General features: G+C 59.9%; 1 protein-coding gene across 10 annotated transcripts, besides 5 other annotated features; it reads right to left on the reverse strand.

The window, feature by feature from the left end:
- Positions 1-2,269: 2,269 nt before the first annotated feature.
- GRIN2C (glutamate ionotropic receptor NMDA type subunit 2C) lies at positions 2,270-21,779 on the reverse strand. 10 transcript variants are annotated; one of them, XM_011524689.3, is made up of 14 exons: positions 19,991-20,132; positions 14,941-15,354; positions 12,260-12,858; positions 11,824-11,938; positions 10,803-11,014; positions 10,453-10,618; positions 10,027-10,180; positions 8,099-8,224; positions 7,555-7,784; positions 7,268-7,330; positions 7,007-7,167; positions 6,313-6,524; positions 4,523-4,755; positions 2,270-3,800 (listed from the first exon to the last, which is right to left on the reverse strand). In XM_011524689.3, exons 2-14 carry the CDS (start codon positions 15,337-15,339, stop codon positions 2,682-2,684), a joined length of 3,789 nt encoding a protein of 1,262 aa, XP_011522991.1. In that variant the 5' UTR covers positions 15,340-15,354; positions 19,991-20,132; the 3' UTR covers positions 2,270-2,681. The 10 variants fall into 10 exon arrangements, 9 of the variants coding, with proteins under 9 accessions (XP_011522991.1, XP_047291823.1, NP_000826.2 ...); NR_103735.2 differs by lacking the exon at positions 7,268-7,330 and having other exon boundaries at positions 6,313-6,496; XM_047435867.1 differs by lacking the exons at positions 7,268-7,330; positions 19,991-20,132 and adding an exon at positions 21,675-21,779 and having other exon boundaries at positions 6,313-6,500.
- Positions 3,072-3,151: a silencer, noted in NCBI's record as "silent region_8942". NCBI's record gives its function as "represses an Ori minimal core promoter by ATAC-STARR-seq in GM12878 lymphoblastoid cells {active_cell/tissue: GM12878}" and the evidence as "EXISTENCE:reporter gene assay evidence [ECO:0000049][PMID:35858748]".
- Positions 3,232-3,291: a silencer, noted in NCBI's record as "silent region_8943". NCBI's record gives its function as "represses an Ori minimal core promoter by ATAC-STARR-seq in GM12878 lymphoblastoid cells {active_cell/tissue: GM12878}" and the evidence as "EXISTENCE:reporter gene assay evidence [ECO:0000049][PMID:35858748]".
- Positions 12,710-12,769: a silencer, noted in NCBI's record as "silent region_8944". NCBI's record gives its function as "represses an Ori minimal core promoter by ATAC-STARR-seq in GM12878 lymphoblastoid cells {active_cell/tissue: GM12878}" and the evidence as "EXISTENCE:reporter gene assay evidence [ECO:0000049][PMID:35858748]".
- Positions 15,016-15,211: a silencer, noted in NCBI's record as "fragment chr17:72850908-72851103 (GRCh37/hg19 assembly coordinates)". NCBI's record gives its function as "represses an EF-1alpha promoter that drives an FKBP-Casp9 reporter gene in an ReSE screen in phorbol 12-myristate 13-acetate-treated (for megakaryocytic differentiation) K562 erythroleukemia cells {active_cell/tissue: K562(+PMA)}" and the evidence as "EXISTENCE:reporter gene assay evidence [ECO:0000049][PMID:32094911]".
- Positions 20,959-21,657: an enhancer, noted in NCBI's record as "H3K27ac-H3K4me1 hESC enhancer chr17:72856835-72857533 (GRCh37/hg19 assembly coordinates)". NCBI's record gives its function as "activates a minimal SCP1, AML or CMV promoter by ChIP-STARR-seq in naive H9 embryonic stem cells {active_cell/tissue: H9 hESC(naive)}" and the evidence as "EXISTENCE:reporter gene assay evidence [ECO:0000049][PMID:30033119]".
- Positions 21,780-22,307: the final 528 nt, after the last annotated feature.

Consider the following 22,307-nt stretch of genomic DNA (forward strand, 5'->3'; position numbering starts at 1 on the left):
CCTGTTTCCCACATCACTCACCAGCCATAACTACTTGTAGCCAGGGACCCCTGACTCATTAGGACTCAAGACACCTACCTGGTTTCATAGCCTTCTAATGAGTTGTCGCCGGGTTGCAATTCAGAAACAGAAAATTGGTCTGAATTCTCTGGAGTCTAGAGGGCTTTGGGGATAGGGGTTGACTCTGGTTCCCCAGTCCCTTAGGAAACTTGAGGACAGTCCTCCCCTTTCAAAGAGCAGGACAGGCTAGGCTGGAGGGTCCTGGCTGAAGACATCAGCCTGCCCTTTTGCAAGCTCTGCCCTCCTCCCCCACACACACCTGGCTCCCTGCAGAAAGCTGGCTTGGACCACAAGCCGCTCAGCTAGACACAAGGAAAAACAGCTACAGCAGCAACAGAAGGGACCCCAGTTAGTAAGATTTTCCTGCTCTGAGGCCAGCCACAAGGGCCTCCCTCTTTCTGTACCTCACCCAAAGAAAAACAATGGTATTTGAGCATGTGGGTCGCCAGGCCCTTGTTTATGATGCTTTCACATCTATAGCCTTACTTCTCTCTCCTCTCCCCTGCCACGCTTTCTTTCCTTCCCTTGGTGGTGCAGGAAGCCAGGCCAAGCTAGTTCTGAACTCAGGATGCAGCCTTCCTGCTACCTGTCCCCCAGGACTCATATCCTCCTGCCCCCCCCCCCCCCCCCCCGGCCACAAATATATGCCTAGAGAAGGAACAAGGCAGCCAGTGCCTGGCCCAGGAGCAGGAGCGGCCCTCCTCAGAGCCAGCAGCAGGCTCGGCTTCACATTGGAGGCTCAGCTCTTAATGATCTTTCCAGTTCTTGGTTATTAATGATCTTGGGCAGAGAGCAGAGCAGCCCTGTCCTCACAGCTCCTCCAGGATGCCTCACCTGCCACAGCCTTCCTCCCAGGGCCAAAGGCAGACCCTGACTCTGGGAGGAGGAGGGGCTCGGTTCCAGGGGCTGGTGGCCAACAGTTAACCCTCTCACTACTAGTGGCTGCAACCAAGGTCAAGCTCCCTTCCAGAGTGCTGGCCTCCAGCACTCACCTAGACACACTCCCAGCCTGCTGTCCTGAACCTGGATCCAGCCCATAAAAACCCATAGGGTAGAGAGCGTGAAATTGTGTGGACAGGGCCACCCACTCTTGGGGTACTCTCCTACCAAGAATGGAGGTGTATCTCCCCCTACCGTTTCAGCTGCCTTCACCCCTAAAACTAACCCAAAAAAAGTCCAGTTCTCATGGCCCCAACCCAAACAGTGGGGTCTTCAGAGACTAAAGAGGCAGCCTGGCTTCCTGGGAACCAGCAAGGAGCTACGGGGGAGGGCACTGGCAGAGACAGCCAGCACCGCCCCTCGCAGCTTCCTCTCTGTCACGTGGAATTAGCCTCTGGCCTGCCTCCACCCAACTTGTCAGGACAGCCAGGGCTTGGCCTTTACATCTTCAGCCGTTAGAAAAGGGTCTGACAGAATCAATAGTGCTCACTGTTTGTGGAACGGATAGAAGGAATGCCTGCTTGCTCCACAGTCATTGTAGGGGGGATAAGTGTGATTGCAGATGTGAAAACATTGAAAATGGTAAGCACAAGCCATCTTTTCAGATGGGCCAGAGGCAAAGATGTGTGATAGAAAAAGGAAGTGGGCTAGAAGCCCCAGAGGGAGAAGAGGATGAGACCGCAGGCAGATTCTCCCACCACAGGAGTCCTGGCACCAGCGAGGCCAAGCTGTGCCTGACCCTGGCAGCCACCTGCCCCAGGATTCCAGAGCCCAGGCAGTTCCGAGCCTCGTGTGTCAGCCACGGAGAGAATGCGGCCAGCCAGGGTTTAGCAAGCCTACAAGCTCCACACCTTTCTCTGCCTCTGCCTCTGCCACCATGGCACTGTCAGGCTCCCCAGGGCGTCCCTGGCAGGGCAGGACAGGACAGCCACTACCCCTGGCACAAGCCTCCCTTTTCAAGGAGACTGAGGGATGAACGCCATCCATCATCACCAGAGCCCCCGTGCTGAGCACACGTGTTACATCCAGTGCCAGGATGGGTGGGAGCTGGCCCTGAATACCAAGTGGCTTCTGCTGCCCAGAGCCCCCTCTCAGCCTCACCTCCTTCCCACATCCCTCCCAGACACTCCCAAGGCTCCGCCTCCCCAAGAGGGACCTGCCTACCTGCTTTAGGCAAACATCCCACCTGGGATACTCTCATGATGCCCTGTTGTCTATGGCCTGTGCTGTGCCCCTTCCAGAATGCAGAATGAAGCAGCCAGGACCAGTGTGTTGTAAAAGGTTGGTTTAATGTCCCAGTGCTCTGATGAGAAGAAACTCTAGCCAGGTAGAGCAAGGATCGGGATGGCCCTGCCTCAACCACAAGTTCCAGCCTCCATGCCCACAGCAGCCATGACCAGTAACTGGCTAGCCCCAGGGAAGGGAGAGCCTCAGGAGTCTGACCCCCACAGCACACCCTCCTGGCAGAACTCTGCGTGAGAAGAGGACAGCAAAAGCCCAGCCCTCACCATGATTTGAGGCTACTGAGGTCACTGATGACCATGGAAGACATCATCTGTCACTGGGGTCCCATGGCCAGGATTTCATGGCAGAAGCCAGAAAAGCCCAATCCTGCCTGCCGCTTAACCCTGACAGTGGCAGGCAGAGAATCCAGCTGGCTCGGAGCCTGAGTGGCTGATAACTCACACTTCTGACTCCAGACTGGAGATCCGTCTCCAGGTGCAGGGTCCCGGGAAGCCTTGCGTCCCACGGGCTACCCTGCTGATCTCGTCCAGTCCCCCACTGTCTCTGTAGCCTGTGCCCAGCCCCAGAGTCCTGCCCCTGTGCCCCAGAGGCCCCCAGGCCCCGGAGAGCCAGGAGCCGTGGCTGGCACAGGGTGGAAGGTGAGGACAGACAGCCCCCCAGCAAAATGGCAGGTGGGCGTGGGCGTGCAGGCAGACGTGCTGTCTGTGCTGCCAGGCGGGGGCCCCTGCCTGCTCGCCCTCCTGGCAGGCCTCCCGGTAGATCGGCAAGCACATCGACTGCGCCTGCGCCAAGCGCCTGCAGGCCGAGTGGCCGTCGGGGCGGGCGCAGGCGGGGCCGGTGCACCCAGCGGGCAGCGAGCTGGGCCGAGCGAAGGCCTCGGCCACGGAGCTGGGCAGGGAAGCGTGACGCGGGCGCGAGCCCCGGGCCCAGGCCGCGTGCAGCAGGGCCTCCCGCCGGGCCAGCTGCTCCGGACCGAGCAGCGGCAGGTCCTCCAGCTCCGGGAAGAGCGGGAGGAAGGGGCGGCCGGATCGGTCGGCTCGAGGAAAGGAGCTGTAGTGACAGCGCGCGGGCGACAGGGGCCGCTCGGAGGCCGAGAGGTGCCTCCCGCAGTGCCCGGTCCGCACCGGCCACCGCGCCTCCCAGGCTGGGCGGCGCGACACTCGGGAGACGTCGGACAGGGGCGGCCCCGGCGTCGGGGGGCGGCCCGGGGGCTGCGGAGCCCTGCGCACAAGCGCCGCGCGACCCCCGTCTGGCGGTCCCCAGCCCGTGGGGCTCGGCTCTGGGGGCGGGTCGGGGGTGGGCAGGCATGGGCTGGGGCCAGACCGCGGGGTCGGGCAGGGGGACGGTGGGGGCGCACGGCGGCCGCCACCCCAATTCTCGATGGTGCGAGTGGCGCGGTCCAGGGAGCTGCTTACGCCCGCCGTGGTCACCATGTCGCGGGCTGCCTGCAGCATCTTGAGCACGCTGGCCTGGGCCGAGCTGGCCGTGAGGTCCGGGCTGGCCTGCCGCGGTGGGCTGGCGAGGCTCTGCACCCCGCTGAAGCAGCTGTAGATGCCCTGGGCAGTAGGGAGACGACAGGCCGTAAGCAGCGCCCTCCGCTCAGGGACCCGCCACGATTGTCCCTGCCTGGTCCCAAGGCATCATCAGTCTTCTATAAGTCTCAGGAAGTAGCTAACTGTGAAGCATCTCCCATGCGCCAGGCACTGTGCTTTGCAGATGAATGAGTGGTCTGAGCGCCCAGGTTGACTCATTCTCCTAATCACTCTAGCTAGCACCTGGCACATGAAGGTTCCAACCTGGGCACACCTGTGGGGGGGACTCTGACCCTCTTCAACCCTGCCACCCTGGTGAGCCATGCCACTTCTCAGGACGTTGGCTTTTTTTTTTTTTTTTAGAAACAGGATCTCACTCTGCTGCCCAGGCTGGAGTGCAGTGGTGCCATCTCGGCTCACTGCAACCTCTGCCTTCTTGGCTCAAGCGATCCTCCCAATTCAGCCTCCTGAGTAGCTGGGACTGCAGGCGCGCACCACCACGCCCAGCTAATTCTTTTATTTTCTGTAGAGATGGGTTTTCGCCATGTTGCCCAGGCTGGTCTCAAACTTCTGGACTCAAGGGATCCACTGGCCTAAGCCTCTCAAAGTGTTGAGATTACAGGTGTGAGCCATGAGCCGGGCCAGAACCTTGGTTTTACCTCTGGAAATGGGCCATGGCCAGCCCGGACTTATCTGGGTAGGTGCCCTTAAAACTTTGGCCTGTGTGGGGAGGGGTGGGCACCCACCCTGCTGAAAGCCAGCAGGAAGTCCAGCTGGGATGAGTTGGGCACCGAGTGGCGCAGCTTCCAGTAGACCAGGTGCTCCCAGGCGAAGACCAGCAGGGCCAGCCCCATGGCCACCAGCAGCATGTAGAAGACGCCTGCCATGTTGTCGATGTCCAGCTTGCTGCTCATCACCTCGTTCTTCTCATTCTGGCAGATCCCTGAGAGCCACACTGTCTCCAGTTTCTGTGTCTCTCCTGGAGTTGGGGGGTGTACACATCTGGCTCAGGAAACCCCCCTATAAGCAACCCCCTCACAAAGCTCACCACAAACCTGGAGTAAGAAGGGATCTGGGGCAGGGTGCCACCCACTTCTTCCTCAAGCAGACCACATGGGGATCCAGCCTGGCTGGAGCAGGATGGTGGGGCGGGGAGTGGAGGGTCAGTGAGCAAGGAAATAGGAAAGCAGGGTGGAGGCTGGAGTGGGCAATGCTGGCCTTTGGGTCCTCCCCCTGTGCACCCCCAGTAAAGGCTTGTGATTGGGTAAATGTTAGCATTCATTCATTCACTCCTCTTCATATACTTATTAACCATCTACATGCCACTCACGGAGCTGGGCACACAGAGACAAAAGGCCTAGGCTCCTAAGAGACACACATTGTGATTGCTCTTATTATTATTATTGTTATTATTATTATATTGAGACAGTCGTGCTCTGTCACCCAGGCTGGGGTGCAGTGGTGTGATCATGGCTCACTGCAGCCTGGATCTCCTAGGTTCAAGCGATCCTTCCACCTCAGCCCCCTGAGTAGCTGGGACTACAGGCACACCACCACACCTGGCTAATTTTTGTATCTTTTGTAGAGATAGGGTATCCCCATGTTGTCCAAGCTGATCCCGATCTCCTAGACTTAAGCAATCCTCACACCTTGGCCTCCCAAAGTGCTGGGATTACAGGTATGAGCCACCTCACCTGGCCGCTCTCATTATTATATGGTTTGAGAAATCAGATTTTTTTTTTTTTTTTTTTTTGAGACAGGGTCTCACTCTGTCACCCAGGCTGGAGTGCAGTGGCACAATCATGGCTCACTGCAGCCTCAAACTCCTGGACTCAAGGGATCCTCCTGCCTCAGCCTCCCAAGTAGCTGGGATTATAGGTGTGTGCCACCATGCCTGGCTAATTTTTTAAAAACTTTATTTATAGAGACAGGATCTTGCTGTGTTGCCCAGGCTGGTCTCAAACTCTTGACTTCAAGTGATCCTCCCACCTCAGCCTCCCAAAGTGCTGGGGTTATAGCCATGAGCCACCACACCCAGTCTAGACCATGTCTTATCTAACAAGAATGGAACTCCTCCAAACACAAAGCTCTCTCTGGGTTTGGGGGCAGGCTGGGCTGGACCACTCACACATGTGGGACTGGGCAGATCCGTAATCTCAAGATGGCCATGGAGATACTATACTGAGCAAAGGAGGTGCTCATCTGGGAGAGATCTTGGGAGGGGTCTTAGGGAAGAAGAAAGGAGTTCAGCCACTCCACCCATCCCCACCCCCACCATGAGGCCTGAGCCCCTTCCTGTCTTCCTGCCCTTCAGGGACTCTCTAGCCCAGTTCCTGCTCCCGCCCTGCACACCTATCCCTTCCTCAAGTCTCTCTCCAGTTGCTCCTAGTACCTGCCCACCTCAGCTGCCCCAACCTCTCACCCCCCAGAGACCTCTCCCTGCTCACAGGCCTTGGGAACTTGAGTGGTGGTGGAAATGCTGACAACCTTGGGCTCCACAGCCCACCCTGGGCATCCCAGCAATGGCAGTACCCACCGTCCCCCAGGAACTGCAAGAGCGCCAGGTCTATGGCCCGCTTCCAGTGGGAGTCCTTCTGCATGGCGATGCCGTAGCCAGTGGTAGCAAAGACCTTGCCAGACCCAATGGTGACCAGCTTGCAGCCCTCGTCCTTGCCTGCCATGTAGTTGAGGACAGCAGCATCATAGATGAAGGCATCCAGCTTCCTGGGGACAGGCTGAGCCTCAGAGCTAGGGACCATATGGGAGGGGAGGGGACACCGAAACTGGGGCGTGACAGGGGTCTAAACCACATGAGCCTGCTGGGCACCCCCGGGAGGGACCAATGGGCAGAGACTTGTCTGGTTCTCTTGGGTCCTGGATGGGGTGAGGACCCCTCCCACCCTCCTCTGCAGAGTGGCCAGGGGACTGTCTGTTCCCAGAAGACACACCACCCTTTCTGCCCACCCTCTCCGTGCTCCTAAGACTCAGAGAAGGTCCCAACCACCACCTCAGGCTGAGGCTGAACTTTGATTGGCACCACAGCTGTGTTCTGAGACACATGGTGGCCTTCCATTTTTGCCTCAAGCTCCACTCTGCCCCAAGACCTCTTCCCTCCACCCCACAGGAGTCCTGCAGGACAGCCCAGTCCCACTGTCCCCACATTGAGAGCTAAGGCTGGTCACTGGGGAGACACACGGATGAAGACAGCGGGTGCAGGGCTGGGGACCCACCCCATCTTGAGGCTGGTGAGCGCGTCCTCCACCGAGCGCTGGTTGAACTTGACCATGTGGGTGTGCATGTCACGGTAGTTACTGCGGATGTTCCGCTCCGTGCTGCCGTTGGGCACCGTGCCGAAGCGGAAAGGTGGGTACTGATCTTGAGGCCGCTGAAACTGCAGGCGGAGGGCAGCAGCCAGTCACAACCCTTCCTCCAGCCTTCCAGGCACCAAAGCCCCAAACCCACCCCAGAGCCCAGCCCCAGTGTGGACTTGCATAGTCAGAGCAGAAGGTCTTAAAGGCTGTCCAGGCCACTCCTGTGTTTTCCAAATGGAGACTCTGAGGCCCAAGACAGGGAGAGACTTACCCAAGGCCTCTCAGCCGGTGGCCCTGAGCCATCTCTTGCCCCAGCCCCCAACCCCTTCTCAGCAGGCCCTGAAGCTTCTTCCTGCCCCAGCCTCCAGGTCAAATTCCCCAGACTCGACTGTCCAGGGCCTGCCCACTCACGGCCTGTCCCCACCCTCAGTGCCCCCCCCCACCCCCAGCAGCTATGGCCCCACAACCTTCTTGTCACTGAGGCCCGACACAGTGTCGATGTATTGCTCTTGGATCATGAAGGCGGCCAGGTTGGCCGTGTAGCTGGCGAGGAAGATGACAGCAAAGAAGGCCCAGACCAGAACCATGATCTTGCTGGTGGTGCCCCGCGGGTTCTCGATGGGCACTGAGTTGTTGAAGACCAGCGCCCACAGCAGCCACACGGACTTGCCGATAGTGAAAGCTGGGCCCCCGGACTCTGGGGGCAAGAGGCGGGGGGATGCTGGAGCTCCTCCTGCCCACCATGAAAGGGCTCAGGGCTCAGCCCACCCGACTGCACAGCTCCGGTCTCAGCCTGGCCTTGGGGGGGACGCGTCCTGGCCATTCCCTCGCCAGGTGAAGTGAGCTCACGTGTGTGTTTCTGTGTGTGTGTGTCATCTGACTGGCCCCCAGCATGTGCCATCCAAAAGCAAGGGACCTCCCAAAGGTATTCTCTGAAGGACCCGTTGCCCCTGAGCCCAGCCCTCAGGGTGCCCAGGCCCACCCCTCCTGCCGGGCCCAGGCAAGGCTTACTCTTGCCTCTGGTGAGGTTCTGGTTGTAGCTGACAGGGCTGAAGTACTCGAACATGAAGACGGTGATGGCCACCACAGTGAGGCACATGACAAACATCATCACCCACACTGCAGGGCTATATGGCTCTGGGGACAGAGGGAGGCAGCTCAGAGGCCTCGGCATGTTCCCTGCCCCAGGCCCAGAAGCACTGGGTGGAGACAGGTAGGTCCACGTGATCAAAGTAGGGGCCCACCAGCTCTGCGGACCCAGCCAAGGGGGCCTCTGACTCAGAGCAGCAGAGCCCCAGGAGAGGCCCCCAAAAGAGGTCAGGCTCTCCAGCATCCTTGGTCTCCCCCCGCCCCCCACTTCCCTGGGACAGGTACAAGTCACCCACCCCAAGAAACGTTCCTTTGACTTCACAACCCCTGCCTGGCCCCACGTGGATGATCTGGTGGTTCTGCCTGGAATCAGAGCCCCTGAGGCCAAGTCTTACTCCTCATCCTACCAACATGGAAACCCACACCCAGGGAACTGGAGACATCCACCCCAGGCCTCAGACAAGACTGTTTCTGTCTCCTAGAGTAAGAAATCACTACTGCTGGCTGGGCTTGGTGGCTCTCGCCTGTAATCCCAGCACTTTGGGAGGACGAGACGGGCGGATCGTTCGAGACCAGCCTGGCCAACATGGCGAAACCCTGTCTCTACTAAAAATACAAAAATTAGCCAGGCATGGTGACACATGCCTGTAGTCCCAGCTACTCAGGAGCCTGAGGCAAGAGAATCAGTTGAACCCAGGAGGCGGCAGTTGCAGTGAGCTGAGAGCGCACCACTGCACTCCAGCCTGGATGACAGAGCAAGACTCATTCTCAAAAAAAAAGGAAAGAAAAGAAATCACTACTATTGGCCAGGTGCAGTAGCTCACACCTGTAATCCCAGCATTTTGGGCGGCTGAGGCAGGTGGACTGCTTGAGTCCAGGAGTTTGGAGACCAGCCTGGGCAACATAGTGAAAACCTGTCTCTACACAAAATACAAAAATTAGCCAGGTGTGGCGGCATGCACCTGTGGTCCCAGCTACTCAAGAGGCTGAGGTGGGAGGATCACTTGAGCCCAGGAGTTTCCAGGCTGTAGTGAGCCAAGATGGCACCACTGCAGTCCAGCCTGGGTGACAGAGGAACACCCTGTCTCAAAAAAAAAAAGGAAGGAAAGAAGAAAGGAAGAGTGGGAAGGAGAGAGGGAGGGAGGGAGGGAAATCAATCCTGCCATGAGCACTTGCTATGCTATGAAGTGGTTTTTTTTTTCCTCTCTTCCGTGGCTGAGGAGCCTGCTCAGAGAGGTTCTGTGACTTGCCCGAGGCCACACAGCAGGACAGGGCAGAGCCGGGGTTTCCACTCCTGTCTGGCCAGCCTCAGCTCTTCCCCTGCCCCTCGCCTGTCTTCACAGCTCTCTGCCACCTCACACTTCATGTCCCACGTGGCCTCTGACAGGGAACTTTGGGAAGGCAAAGACTACGCTGTAGCCCCAGCACCCAGCATGGGACCTGGCTGCCCAACCAATGCCGGACTCCTCACCCAGGAAGCAACACACCTCTTCGCACACTACACTCGCTCCTCAACTCCCCACGGGCCTCCCCCACTCGTTCCACAGTCCTGGGCCATGGCCCATCCTGAGGCGAGCCTGCCTGCTGGATTTTCCTGCCACTCACAGTGGCACCACGACCCATCCCACACCCCCAACCCCACCCTCACCTGGCAGCCATACCTAGAACCGAACACTGACTTCACTTCTCCTGTCTCCTTTCCACTCACCTCCAGCCAACCTCCAAGACCCAAGGCTGCTGTGCTTGGCCTGTGAGAGCCCACCCAACTCCCCATCCCCACCCAAGCTGTACACACCCTCCTCGTGGGCCCCTCTGCCCCCGGAGCCGTCTCTGCCCACCCTGGGCCTCACCCAAGAAGGCCGAGGGGGAGACGGTGCCATTGCTGCGAGCCACCATCACACTGATGCCCGTCTCCACAAAGGGTACAGAGAAGTCTACGATCTCGGAGCGTTCCTCATTGATGGTGAGGGAGCCGATGGCCATGTCTGCCCGCTTGTAGTACACCTGGGGGCCGGACGCCACGGAGGTTTGAAAAAGGGGCTCCCGTGGGGTGGACACGCTGCACAGGCACCTCCAGACACCCCTTCTAGCACCCACCAGCTGAGTCAATCATTCCCTCTGGGGCCCTCAGAGCTCAGCTTTCAGTACTGACCACCCCAGGAGTCATCATTGGTGACAGCCCATGCCCCCCTCTAGAGGGCATCTGAGAGCCACATGGGGCCTGGGCAGCAGGTGGGCAGGCAGGGCAGGTGAGGAGGGAGTGGGGTGGGGCCTACCTCCCCAATCATGCCGTTCCATACGCCGCGCACCCGCTTGCCATGCTTGCCGTTGGTCACCAGGTACAGGTCGTAGGAGAATTTGACCACTCTGGCCAGCTTCTTGAGGATGTCGATGCAGAATCCCTTACAGCAGAGCTTGGTGTAGGGGGCCACGTCCCCGCTGCTGCAGCCATGCCGCCATGAGACCACCGGGAGTCAGAGTATGTCGTGGCCCAGCCCCGCCCCAGCCACTCCTCCAGCCTGGCACGTGGACCCCTGCCCCACACCCAAGCATGGGACATACACGACACCTGACCATCACACGGCAGCACCCAGCTCACACTAGCCTCCCAGGGCCCTCCACAGACCTGAAGGTGTGGTTGCTCTGCCTGCGGCAGGGCACGGTGTTGGGGACACAGCCTCCTGTGCCAGGGTCAGGGCTCTCCACGATGACAAAGGGCCGCTCTTCCAGCGTGGCCACCGTCAGGTGCCGACTGTCCACCACAGGCTGCAGAGAGGCACTGTAGCGAGGCCACACGGGGTACTTCATGTATAGGACGCCATGCTCCCAGCGCCCCACCTGTGGAGGGTGACAGCCTCAGCCTGGGGCCTCCAGCCCTACAGCCCCCACCCTCTAGGTGGAGCCTGCCAGGGCCAAGAATCTCCCTCTCTCACCTAGGGATGCTGGGGCAGGTCAGAGTAGGGCTGCTCCCAACAGCCTCCCCCAGCCTCGGGTCCCTGTGTTCATACAGCTCCACACTGACCCACAGCATCTTCCTAAAGCCCAGACCTGACCCTGTCTCACTCACTGTACTGGTCCCCCCTGACTTTGACAGAACGTCCTTAGCTGAGCACTCAAGGCCCTTCATGCTCCAAACCCTTCTGCCCCTCTGTCTCTTCCAGGCTAGCACCTCTTCCTGGTGGGCTCCTACTCAAACCTCCACAGCCCAGCTCAAATATCCCATCTTCTGGGACCTCTTTCCCAGTTTCCTCCTTTGAAGGCAGAACTAATTCCTGTTCCTCATCTCCAATCCCACAATCTTTTGCACACGTCTACTCAAGCACTTGTCCCTGCATATTGTTTACAAGCCTGTCTGGCCAGCATGGTCATGGGTTACTCCTGCAGGGGCAGGACCAGGAGATAGGAGCGCTTGAAATGTTCTATAGTAGAGGGAAGCCGGGGTGTTATGGGAGCCCAGAGCAGGGCACCTCACCCACCCCGGGGCACCTGGAGGCTTCCCAGTGGAGGAGATGTTTGTTTCAGCTGAGACCTGGAAGATGAGGGGTTGGATAAGGGACAGAGGGACTCTCTGCTCAGCTGTGGGCACAAGAGGAGGCGGGGACAAAATAAGAGGACACTGAGGGCCCCTGGGCTCACCCCCTTCTCACCATCTCCCAGAGGCGGTGCCGGTTGAGGGCGATCACCACCATGGTGGGCTGGACCAGGTACCCACCAGGGCTGAAGGAGAAGTCTCGGCCCTCCCAGGTGACATTCAGTAGGTGCCTGCCAGAGGGGAGAGATGCCTGCAGCCCTGCCAAGGACCAGGCACCCCCTGCCTCTGCCTCACCGCCGCCACCGACAGCAGGTGGCATTGATTGTGTTTATTGTTCAAAGTGCTTCCCTATATTGGCCCCACGATCCTTGCCACACCCTGACACCTGCTGTTTGTTCAGATGAGGACACTAAGGCCCAGACAGGTGGGGTAATGTGGCCCCAGGCACGCAGCTAGTGGGAGGTGTGGCTGGCCAGCCCAAACTCACTGCCAGCCAGCTCCCCCGAAGCGCTCCCCACCTCCCTACCCCTATGCCCCGGGCAGGTGCCCACCTGTAGAAGGCCTCCCGGGCAGGGCTGACGGGCCCAGGGTGAACACGGCAGTCCCCGGCCGGGGCTGGCAGGGTTCCATGCTGGCGCCAGTAGCTGTGGGCGCCCAGGGCCAGAATGGCCACGCCGTCGCGCACCTTCTGGCGCAGGCTGAGGCGCCAGCTCTCGGTGACGACGCTGATGAGGCCCACGGGGAAGGTGGCGGGGGGCGCATCGGTGCTGCCCAGCGCCAGGTTGGGCACCAGCCACACGTGGCCGGGCCCCACCAGACCGGCCTGCGCCGCCTCGGCGAAGAGCACCTCGGCCTCCTCGCGCGAGCAGTAGGCCACAAACACGGGCGCGTCGAGCTGGCGCAGCAGGCGCTGCGTGCGCGCGCGCGGCCCTCCCGGGCCCAGCTCCAGCGTGACCACGTCCAGCAGCCGCCAACTCACGTGGCTGGCGTCGGCGACGGCGCGCACGCCCTCCAGGAAGAGCGCGTGGCCCGGGTGCAGGCTGGTGATGACGGCGAAGGCGCTCCAGTCGTACTCTTCCAGCACCTTGAACAGCACCTGCAGCTGCTGCTCCAGGGACACGCCCAGCTGCAGGAAGGCGGAGCCCGGCTCCTGGGGGCGGGCGGGGCCTGAGCGGGGCGGGAGGGCCGAGCCCCTCCTCCCGCCCCTTCCCCGACCTCGGCCCCTCCATCAGCTCCCAGGCGCCCTTGCGCCGGCGGATGCTCCGCATTCCGGGAGCCCTCTGGCCTGCGCCTCCCTCCCGCCCCAATGTGGTTCCCCGCTGCCTAGTAGCATGGTCATGCCCGGCCCCCAGCCCACCACGCTGGCCCGCAGACCCGCAGCATCAGCACCACTGGGGAGTTTGTCAGAAATGCAGATTCTCAGGTCGCACCCCACACCGACTGGATCGGAGTCGCTGGGTATGCCGCCTGGCATCTGTATTCTCACAAGCTCTTCAGCCGATCCTTGAGCCCGCTAGACTGAGAAGCGCTGCCCCAGACCAACTGAATCTGAATTCCAGAGGTGCAAAGCCAGGCGTCTGTATTTCCTAAGAGCACGATGAGGGTTGAGAGCCAATGTCCTGAGATCTTATGCCGGGGCCCCAAGAGGACGGGGAAACGCCACCCTGGTTGAAGCCCTGAGGGTGGGAAAGCTCCTCCTCTCCACCCCTCTGCCACCACAAAAACCCAAGGCACTGCCGGCTGGCACCGGGGCCAGCGCAGTCCCCTCGTAACTGGTCTCACTGCTGCCACTGTCCCAATCTTTTAAAAAAGCAAATAAGGGAAAATTCAGAGGCCAAGCAACGCAGTTTCTTCAATAAACAAATTGCAAGGAAAAAAGAGAGACAGACAGAGGAGGGGCCCAGAGGTTGAGAGAAACTCAGAAGCCACACCAACCAACCGGCACGTGTGGACCCGATTTGGCTCTTAATTCGAGCAAACAGGCTGCAAAATAAACACTTATGACAGTTATGAAACAATGGGGAAATTTGAACACTGCCTGGATATTTGAAGGAGTTTTTATTATTTTTTAGACGTGATAATGTATGGTGGTTTTACGTTCTTAAGCCCTTATCTGCCAGGGATACATACTGAAATATTTATGGATGGAATAAGAGGATGCCTGGGCTTTGATTCAAATTAACACAGAAGAAGGGGAAGGGGGTGCTGGTGAGGCTGGGGTGGATGGCCAGGGCGAATGGGGGATATATGAGTCTTCCTTATACTTTTTAATGTATACTCAAAATTCTTCATATAAAAATTAATGAAACAAAGGCGAATCAGATCAGTCTCTTCCCTCAACTCTCCTCCGCTCTTCCCTGAGTGGCTAGATCAACAGGGGCAGGGCCAGGAAGCTCACAGGGCTAAGGCAGGCACAGACCACGGCCACTGTCACAGCCGGCTTGCGCTGCCCTGTCTGCTCACTTGCTTAGGGAAAAGCCCAAATGTCTTCCCAGGTGGCCAGGCCCCCGCCTCCTTCTCCAGGCTTTTCCCTCTATTCCTCCAAAGCTCTGAGCTCCTTCCTCGCCTTGGGGCCTTCATCCCACCTGCTTCTCTGCCTGGGCCTCTCCCCCTCCCCACCGGCTCGCCCTTAGGCCCTCAGCCTAGACATCATTTCTCCAGAGACTTTCCCTGGCCAACACCCTATGCATGAGCCATGAGTGAGCTCCCTCACAGCATCCTGTGTCTTTCCTTCAGAACGCTTGTCCTAGTTGTAACTGCTGATGAATGTGTGTTTGGAACGTTCTCCCCTGAGCCCTGCAAGGGCAGGGCCGTTTCTGCCTCCCCCAGGGCTCCCAGGGTTCCCTGGTGCTCACCCTACAGGTCAACTACCACTGCCCAGAGGGCATGGCACCACCTCCATGCCCGGCTGGCCCTCTGGGTCTTCACCCTGACCTAGGAAGCTGAGGGAAGCAGAGAGGAGGAGGGCTGGGGCCTGAGCCCCACAGCCAGAGGGTGGGCCTGCACCCTGCCCACCCCTCATCCAGACACAATGTGAGGTCAGCCCAGAATATCTCTCCTCTAGAACATGGGATGTCATTCCCATAACCATCTCCCCATCACCCACATCATGCCCTCAGCCCCCACCTCCCTGCCCATCCCGTCTAATCCCAGCTTCCCAGAACCAAAGCACCCCCGACCCCAGCCTGGTTCCAGGCCTGAGGCACGAGGGGACATGAGTTTGGACATGCACCTTGGGGGTGAGGACCACAGCAGAGCCTCCGCTGATGCTGAGGATGGGCACATGGGTCTGGGAGGAGATGAAGTCAAGGATCTGGGCCACCGCCTCGGTGTCCACGTTGTCCTCAAAGACAATGCCGTGGACGTGGGCAGCACCCAGGAGGCCGCAGATCTGGGTGAGGAGGCTGCTGGGGTTGGTGGTGTTGACCCCAACTGTGAGCGGCTGGATCTCCAGGGGTAGGTCCAGGAAGCTCTGGGGGGTGAGGCGGGCACGGAACTGGGCCTGGGGCGGCCCTGAGCTGCTAAACACCACGGCCACCGTCATGCCCTGCTCGCCCTGCCCCGGACCCAGCCCTGCCCAGGCACCGAAGAGCGAGGTGAGCAACAGGGCCGGCCCCAGGGCCCCACCCATGTCCACCGGAGGGTCCTGCGGAGAGACCAGAACAAGCACAGGGAGAGAGACAGAGGTTTGGAGAGAGGCAGATGGACAGACAGGAGGGACAGAGGGACACACATACGGAAGATGAAAGAGAAGAGGGGAAAACCTCCCTCCCCGAAGAGAGGCGGAGAGAGAGGGAGACAGACAGACACGGACAAAGAGAAAGAGACAGAGGTTAGTTGAGCATCCCAAGGGCATCCCAGAAGAGCAAGGGCTGGGGAAGAACAGGAGCCATGACCGGGACCCAGCCCTCCAGTCTACTGATGCCTTCCAAAACTCAGCCAGTGGGTTCTGCCCTAGGAAGTCATACTGAAAATGCTAGTCTGGGGTTCAAGTGCATGGATTTGAGTCAGACAGATCTGAGTTCGTGTCCCAGTTCTGCCACTAACTGGCTGTGTGATCTTAGGGAAGTCACTTAGCCTCTCTGAGCCATGTTTTCTTGCCTGAAATAATCACAGCAGTGTGAGGACTTAGATGAGCTAACAGGCTATTTGCTGGGATTAGTGACCTCATCCCGCAGGTGACAGGCCCCCAGCCAGGTGAAGGAAGACAGCTCTTGCATCACCCCCAACCCCCACCCCCACCGGCCAGTCCTCCTCATAGTCTAAACCGGATCTTCCATCTGTCTCTCACCAGGGCCTGTGCTACTGGTCAGTGTGCCCTGCTTGCCATGGGGCCAGCCCCAAGGGCCCTCCTCTGCATGGTTCTGCCTGGCACAGAGCCCCCTCCTCCTGGGCACTGGACGTCACTACAGCCCTTCCTTCTGTGGCCTCAGCTAGTAGCAGCTCTTCCGCAGCAGGGTGCAACAGCACTGACTTGTTCAGAGCTCAGGGGTACCGGAAAACCCAAGCTGGTGAGCTGGGGTTTGGTCTTGTTACACATGAGCTGGTGAGCTGGCCTCTCGGGCCATCACTGGCGTGCAGGATCTTTTGAACCCAACCCAGGGGCCTGACACGTATCCTTGCTAAATGTCATTATTTTGGATTGGGACCAAGAGCCACAGCAGTGAGGGTAACACAAAGCCTGAGTGGAGTGGTGCCCACGGATGTCACTCTCCCTCCCAGCTGGCCATCGGCCATGGCACTGCCATCTCTCCCATCTTCATCACATCCCCAGCAAAACTTCTGAGCAGGGAAGAGCTAAAGGGTGGACAGGGTGAGCCTGCCACTCCAGCCCTCCCGCCTCCCCCAGGATCTGCACATCTCTGCTACAGAAATGCTCACGAAAATCAAGCAGTTGCCAGAAACCACGCCTCCGAAAGACAGATGCCCTTCAGGGATGGGGCCCGAGACAACTGCTGGGCAGGCTCCAGCTTTCTCACAGGGCCTTCCTTTTGCCTGCCACCAAATTTCTCTCTCTCTCTTTTTTTTTTTTTTTGAGACAGAGTCTTGCTCTGTCACCCAGACTGGAGTGCAGTGGTGCGATCTCGGCTCACTGCAAGCTCCACCTCCCGGGTTCATGCCATCCTCCTGCCTCGGCCTCCCAAGTAGCTGGGACTACAGGCGCCCACCACCATGCCCGGCTAATTTTTTGTATTTTTTAGTACAGATAGGGTTTCACCGTGTTAGCCAGGATGGTCTCGATCTCCTGACCTCATGATCTGCCCACCTCGGCCTCCCAAAGTGCTGGGATTACAGGCGTCAGCCACCACACCCAGCTATCTCTCTCTTTTTTTTTAATCCAAAGCCTAATGTCTTACAGACATATGGGCCTTCTTGTATCTCTAGTTCTCTCTAAGGAATCCAGAGAGCGGGGAAGTGCAAGAGGCTACCAGGAACATTCAGGAAAGTTCCTCTTCTCCCCAGGGTGGCACTGAAAGGATCCCTCCAGGGAACCCACTAAACCAACTTTAGTGTAGAAACATCAATTGGCCCGTGTGTGCTGAGCCCCTTCCCTGCAGCAGGCGCTGGATGGTGGAATGTCCCTATGGGTGAGACATGGTCCCTGCCCTCCAGGAACTTAGAGTCAAATCTGCAGAATGAGCATGCTGCTGTTAGCACCTCCAACCTCCTTTTTTCTAAATATATTTCTCTTTCCAACCTTCTCTCCCTACTTCCCTCAAACTCCCCAGCCTCCCCGTCAAGATCTTCTCTTAGCTAAGCATCTAGAGCTCATTCACAGGAAGGTATGAGGGACTGATCATAGCTGAAAGGGTTCTCATTCCCAAGAGAGATGTAGTTTAACCACAATCAGAGCCTTAAGCTAAAGTGCCAGGTGGTAGAATTTCAGGCCAAGAAGACAAGAGTTTTGGCAAGGAAGGGAATATTGCTCTCATGGTGGCGCCCTTGAAATCTTCCCATGTGTACGGTTCCCTAGTACAGTGACACAGAAGTGACAGAAGTGACAGAACTGACAGCCCAGAGACATGTTTGAGTCTGGCAAGGGATCGATCCTAGCCATGCCATGCCATGCCTCAGCTGCCACCACCAATCAGGGATGTCAGATCTCAACCACAAAGGACACTGACATGCTTGTCGCTCCCCTTGCACGGCCTCTGTCTGCTCACCTCTGCCCACACCTCCAGGTCCTAGAGGTTCCTTGCCCTCTGGGGAGCCCCAAACCTCCTACTACCCCTGCCTCCCAGTAATGAGCTCTAGATCTGTGCTGCCCAGTATAGGAGCCGCCAGTCATACACGACTATTGGGTACCAGAAACATCTCTCACCCAAACGGAGTTTGCTATCAGTGTAAAATTTCATGCCACACTGCACATTGAAGACAACAGGGAAAAAGAATGTAAAAAATCTCGTAAACACTTGTATCTTGATTACATGTTGAAATAATAACATTTGGGGTATGTTTAGTCAAAGAAAATATACTATTAAAATTAACGTCACCTGTTTCTATTTGTTTTAATGTGGTTACTAGAAAATTTTAAATTGTACTTGTGGCTCCCATTTTATTTCTTTGGACAGTGTGACCCTGGATGAAGGGCCCAGGCTCTCCCTCAACTGCAAAGGGGCAGAATAAGCAGTCTGCCATTAGCATCTCCAACCTCCTTTTTCTAAATGTATTTCTCTTTCCAACTCCCTACTCCCCTCAAGCTTCCACCCTCCCCAGTCAAGACCTTTTCTTAGCCAAGGACCTAGAGCTCATTCACATGAAGGAATAAGGGTCTGGTAATAGCTGAAAATGTTCTCATTCCCACTCTCTCCAATAGGAAGACATCCTCATGGGCTGGGGACACCAGAGACTCTCTCCAAAGGGAAGGTGTCCTGCTGGGTTGGGGGTTGGGGGTCGGGGGGTGGGGGAGTTGAGGCAGGTTGTACCTCTAATCAAGGGGCCTAAAATGGGGGAGGGATCCCAGAATACCTCCAGAGCCAGGGGCCAAAACTAGGTAAGTCCCTGGGCTCCAAATAGCAAGGGGCAGACTCAAGGAGCTTCCGAATTCTGTCTCATCACCCCGTCTAACCCAGCCACCCTACAGAGGTAGGAGGGACAAACTCCACTTTCCCCCGCCACAATCTCCTCCCTTGCCTCCCCCTCCCCACCTCCCACCTACCCACCCCCGCCAGCCCCACTGCACTGCTGAAGCCTTCCTCCAGCCACTGCTCCCTCCTCACACAGGACAGCTACACCCTGGTGCCCACAAATGAAGTCCAGACAGCTTAGTCCCATAGACAGAGCCCTCTGCACCCTGACCGCAACCAACCGTCCTCCCATCCCTGGAACCCACAGCTCTGCCAGTCTGCTGGCCAAACAGCCCCATTCTGCCCTCATCTCCAGGCCTCGTTCCAGCATCCCCCAGGCTGGAATGTCCTCATCCCAACAGAAGTCTACTCTCCTTCAGGGCCCAGCTGAAATCCCTCTCCCACAGGCACCTGCCTTGATGCCTCAGGCTCTAGGCGCAGGGACTGCGGCCAGGCTGGGGCACCTGCCCTTCTTCCCCCTGCCCTGGCTTCCCCTCCTGGGTGGGGAGCTCTGTGTAGTGGTCCCCTCCACCCCTCCATTCTGCCCTGCGGCAGGTGTGTGTGCACTCATTAACACCCTGCCCCACACTGGACTGCGGGCTCCTTGAGGGCAGACACATTGTCTCAGAGACCTCTGCCCACCCACCCACTCAGGGTCTCACCCCTTCCACAAACAGCCCTTAAACTAATGTTTGACAAACACAGAGATCCCCAAAGAGCCCCAGAGAGGATGGCAGTGGTCAGTCCTGCAGGACACAGCAGCATCTAGAAGGGTCTGAGCACCTTCCCAGGCTGGGGGCCTTCTCCTTCCCGGGTCCTCACAGCTCAGCCAGACCCCCTGGCACGGACCTGCACACACATGCACACTCCCGCACTCATACCCGCTCACATCTGAGATACCGATGGCTCTCCCTCTCCCAGGCTAGGAAACTCTGTCGCAGGAGTCCTCCCCACCCACCAGCAGAACCCCCGGACCCCCTGCCCTTCCGGTGAGCCGCCCCTCCTTTGCCGTCGGGTTTCCCTCCCTCCCTTTTGCCCAGCCAAAACCCGAACCCAGGCGCCAGGGGAGAGGACCGCCGTTCTAGCTTGCCCCACTGCTGGGGGCACGGAGTTCTTGCTCCTCCAAGGCTACGGCCCCCGTCTCCGCGGACCCCGCCCGGACTCCCCCTGGCCACCGGGACGCCCCGCCCCCTCCCCTCCGCAGCAATCTCTTACACTCGGGCTGTGAAGTTCGGGGTATTTTTAGGCCGGCGATAAATAATTCATAGGGAACGTGGCATCAGGCTCCCCCCGCGGGAGGAGGGGGCGCGAGCAGCGAGAGCCACCGTCACCCGCGGCTCAAGGACACTCGCGATGCGGCGGCGGCGGCGGCGGCGGCGGCTCCGGGCGGGGACCCGCGCCACGCCTCCTGGCGGCCAAGCTGAGCACCACGCACCCGGCGCCCCCCGCCCCACGCTGCCCCCCGCCGGCGTCCGCGGCTCCGGGGCCCCCACCCCCACTCCCCCAAGCTGGGTCGTGACCCCGAGTCCCGCAGTGGGGGGACCAAGCCAGCCTGGCAGGCGGCCCCAGTACCATCCCAGGCCCGCCCGGGGGCCCTGGGCGAACCCAGGTGTCCCGGACCTGCCTACCTGCCCCTGGCACGCTCTTATTCTTCGGGAGTTTAGAAACAGGCTCAAAGTCACTAGCACCGCCAAGACCTGGACGGGCTCTGAAATACAGCCAGCGGAATGGTACCCTCCCCAAATAAGTGTCTTTCCTCGATTTTCCTGTGGCCCGGGGTCAGGGACTGAACTAAGATAACGCCACCATCCGAGGGCTGGGGGACCGAGCCAGAAGTCCCCTTGGACGACCAGGGCTGGGAAACCGAGTGGACGAATGGGGTGGGCATCAGGGCCTGGCGGGAATTCCCGTCTTGCTCACCCAGCAGCTCCTTGCAGGGTCGCGGGACGCACCTGGGGGTTCAGGTTGCCGGGTGCCTTTGCTCCGCGTGTCCCCGCCCTGCCCGCGTAGGCAGGAAACAGGAGACTCGGGGCTTCCCCTCCCCGCCGTCGGGGATCCTGGGCGAAGCCCCCAGAGACCGGCGCAGGCGGCTGGTGCGCAGCCAGGGCCCAGCGCCAGGTCTTGCTCGCCCAGTGCCCTCTCTGCCTACCCTTCCCTTTGCGCTCTGGAAGCCCGGGAGCCGGGCACGGGCCAGCATCTGCAAGATGCCACTACTCTGGAAGCCCACTCCGATTCTCCCAGGTCGCAGGAAGGAGAGAGCTAGGCTGGGGCAAAGGAGATGGGGCAGAGCTGGAAGGGGAAGAAGCGGGACTCGCGGCGGGGGAAGGGGTCTGGGCGCCGAGGCGAGTGCGCAGCAGGTGCCCAGCAGACCTAGGGAAACTGGGGCACTGGGCTGGGGAGCCGCACAGCCCCCTTTCACCTTCTCGACTCCTTTCCAACCCCTCGCTCTGGTGGATCCCAGCCCCGGCCCCCACTCCCGGCCCTGTTCCCCGCTCTCCGCCCCGGCGGCTTCCAGCAGCAACAGTTTGGGTCCGCGGCAGCCCAGACTCCCCTGGTCCCGCGGTGCTGCCGCGCCAAGCGAAGGAGGAGGAGGGCTCGGCGACCCTGGGGACGAACGTCTTGGACGCTTCGCCCGCGTCCTTCTCTCGCGTCCGCCGCGCGCCTGTCTGCTCGGCCTCTTCTTCGCCTTCTCTCCGGCCGCCCGGGTCAAAACCCAAGGCCAGGTTCTTGAGGGTCCGGGTCCTCCAGCCGCCCCCTCCTTGAGCCCCGAGAGTCCTGCGTGGGTCCAACCCCCCGGGTGTCCCGCCTCTGTCTCCGCCGTCCTTGCTCGCGCGCCGCGGGAACCCAGCCCCAAGTTGGCGGCGAAGTTGGTGCCCCTCGCCCGCCGCTCGCCACTTACCGAGGGGAAGGGGCGCTGCGCCCGCGACGAGAGCCCGCGCCGGCCGCCTCCCTCGCGGTGTCTGTCCCAGAGCCTCGGCCCCGGAGGGCTGGCGCGCTCAGTCTCAGCTCCGCGGGCGCCGGAGCCCGGGCGCGGCGGGGCGGGGGCGGGGGCGGGTGGCGCGGCCTGGTCCGCTGGCCCCGACCCGCCCCTGCGCCCCGCGACCCTCCCGAAGCTCGCACGGCGCCCGGCTCCGTCCCGGGCTGGGCTGCGCACCGCGCCTCCTGCTCCCAGAGCTCGCAGCCGACTGTGCGGGAGCTCTCACCGCCGCCCGCGAGGGCCCGCCCCGCCGGGGCCCGCCACCTCCGCCCCGGCCCGGCCCGGCCCGCTGCCCCTCGAGGCCCCTCCCGCCGCATTCCCGGGCCCCTCTCCCCTCTCCGGAACCGCGTCCCCAGACCTGACACTCGGGGCAAGTGCGCCTCGGAGGACACACCAGCCTGCCCGGAGCCTGGGTTTGAGCCCGCAGCTCACGAGTGTGTGACCTTGGGCCAATTTCGAGGACCCCTCAGGTTATACAGCGAGGCAGCATCTTGAGGGCTGCCATAAAAGGGAGTGACCACTCTCTGGACACTGCAAAGCCCTAGGGAGACTGAG

This window comes from Homo sapiens, chromosome 17, assembly GCF_000001405.40.
Source record: "Homo sapiens chromosome 17, GRCh38.p14 Primary Assembly".
NCBI classification, from domain to species: Eukaryota; Metazoa; Chordata; class Mammalia; order Primates; family Hominidae; genus Homo; species Homo sapiens.

What these genes read in the sequence shown, in the direction of transcription:
- GRIN2C (XM_011524689.3), bottom strand. Translation starts at nt 15,339, where the DNA reads ATGGGTGGGGCCCTGGGGCCGGCCCTGTTGCTCACCTCGCTCTTCGGT. An exon ending in GAACCTCACCAGAGGCAAGA is followed by an intron (nt 7,785 to 8,098) that starts GTAAGCCTTGCC and finishes TCTTGCCCCCAG; the next exon opens with AGTCCGGGGGCCCAGCTTTC. An exon ending in AGACCTTCTGCTCTGACTAT is followed by an intron (nt 7,168 to 7,267) that starts GCAAGTCCACAC and finishes CTCCGCCTGCAG; the next exon opens with TTTCAGCGGCCTCAAGATCA.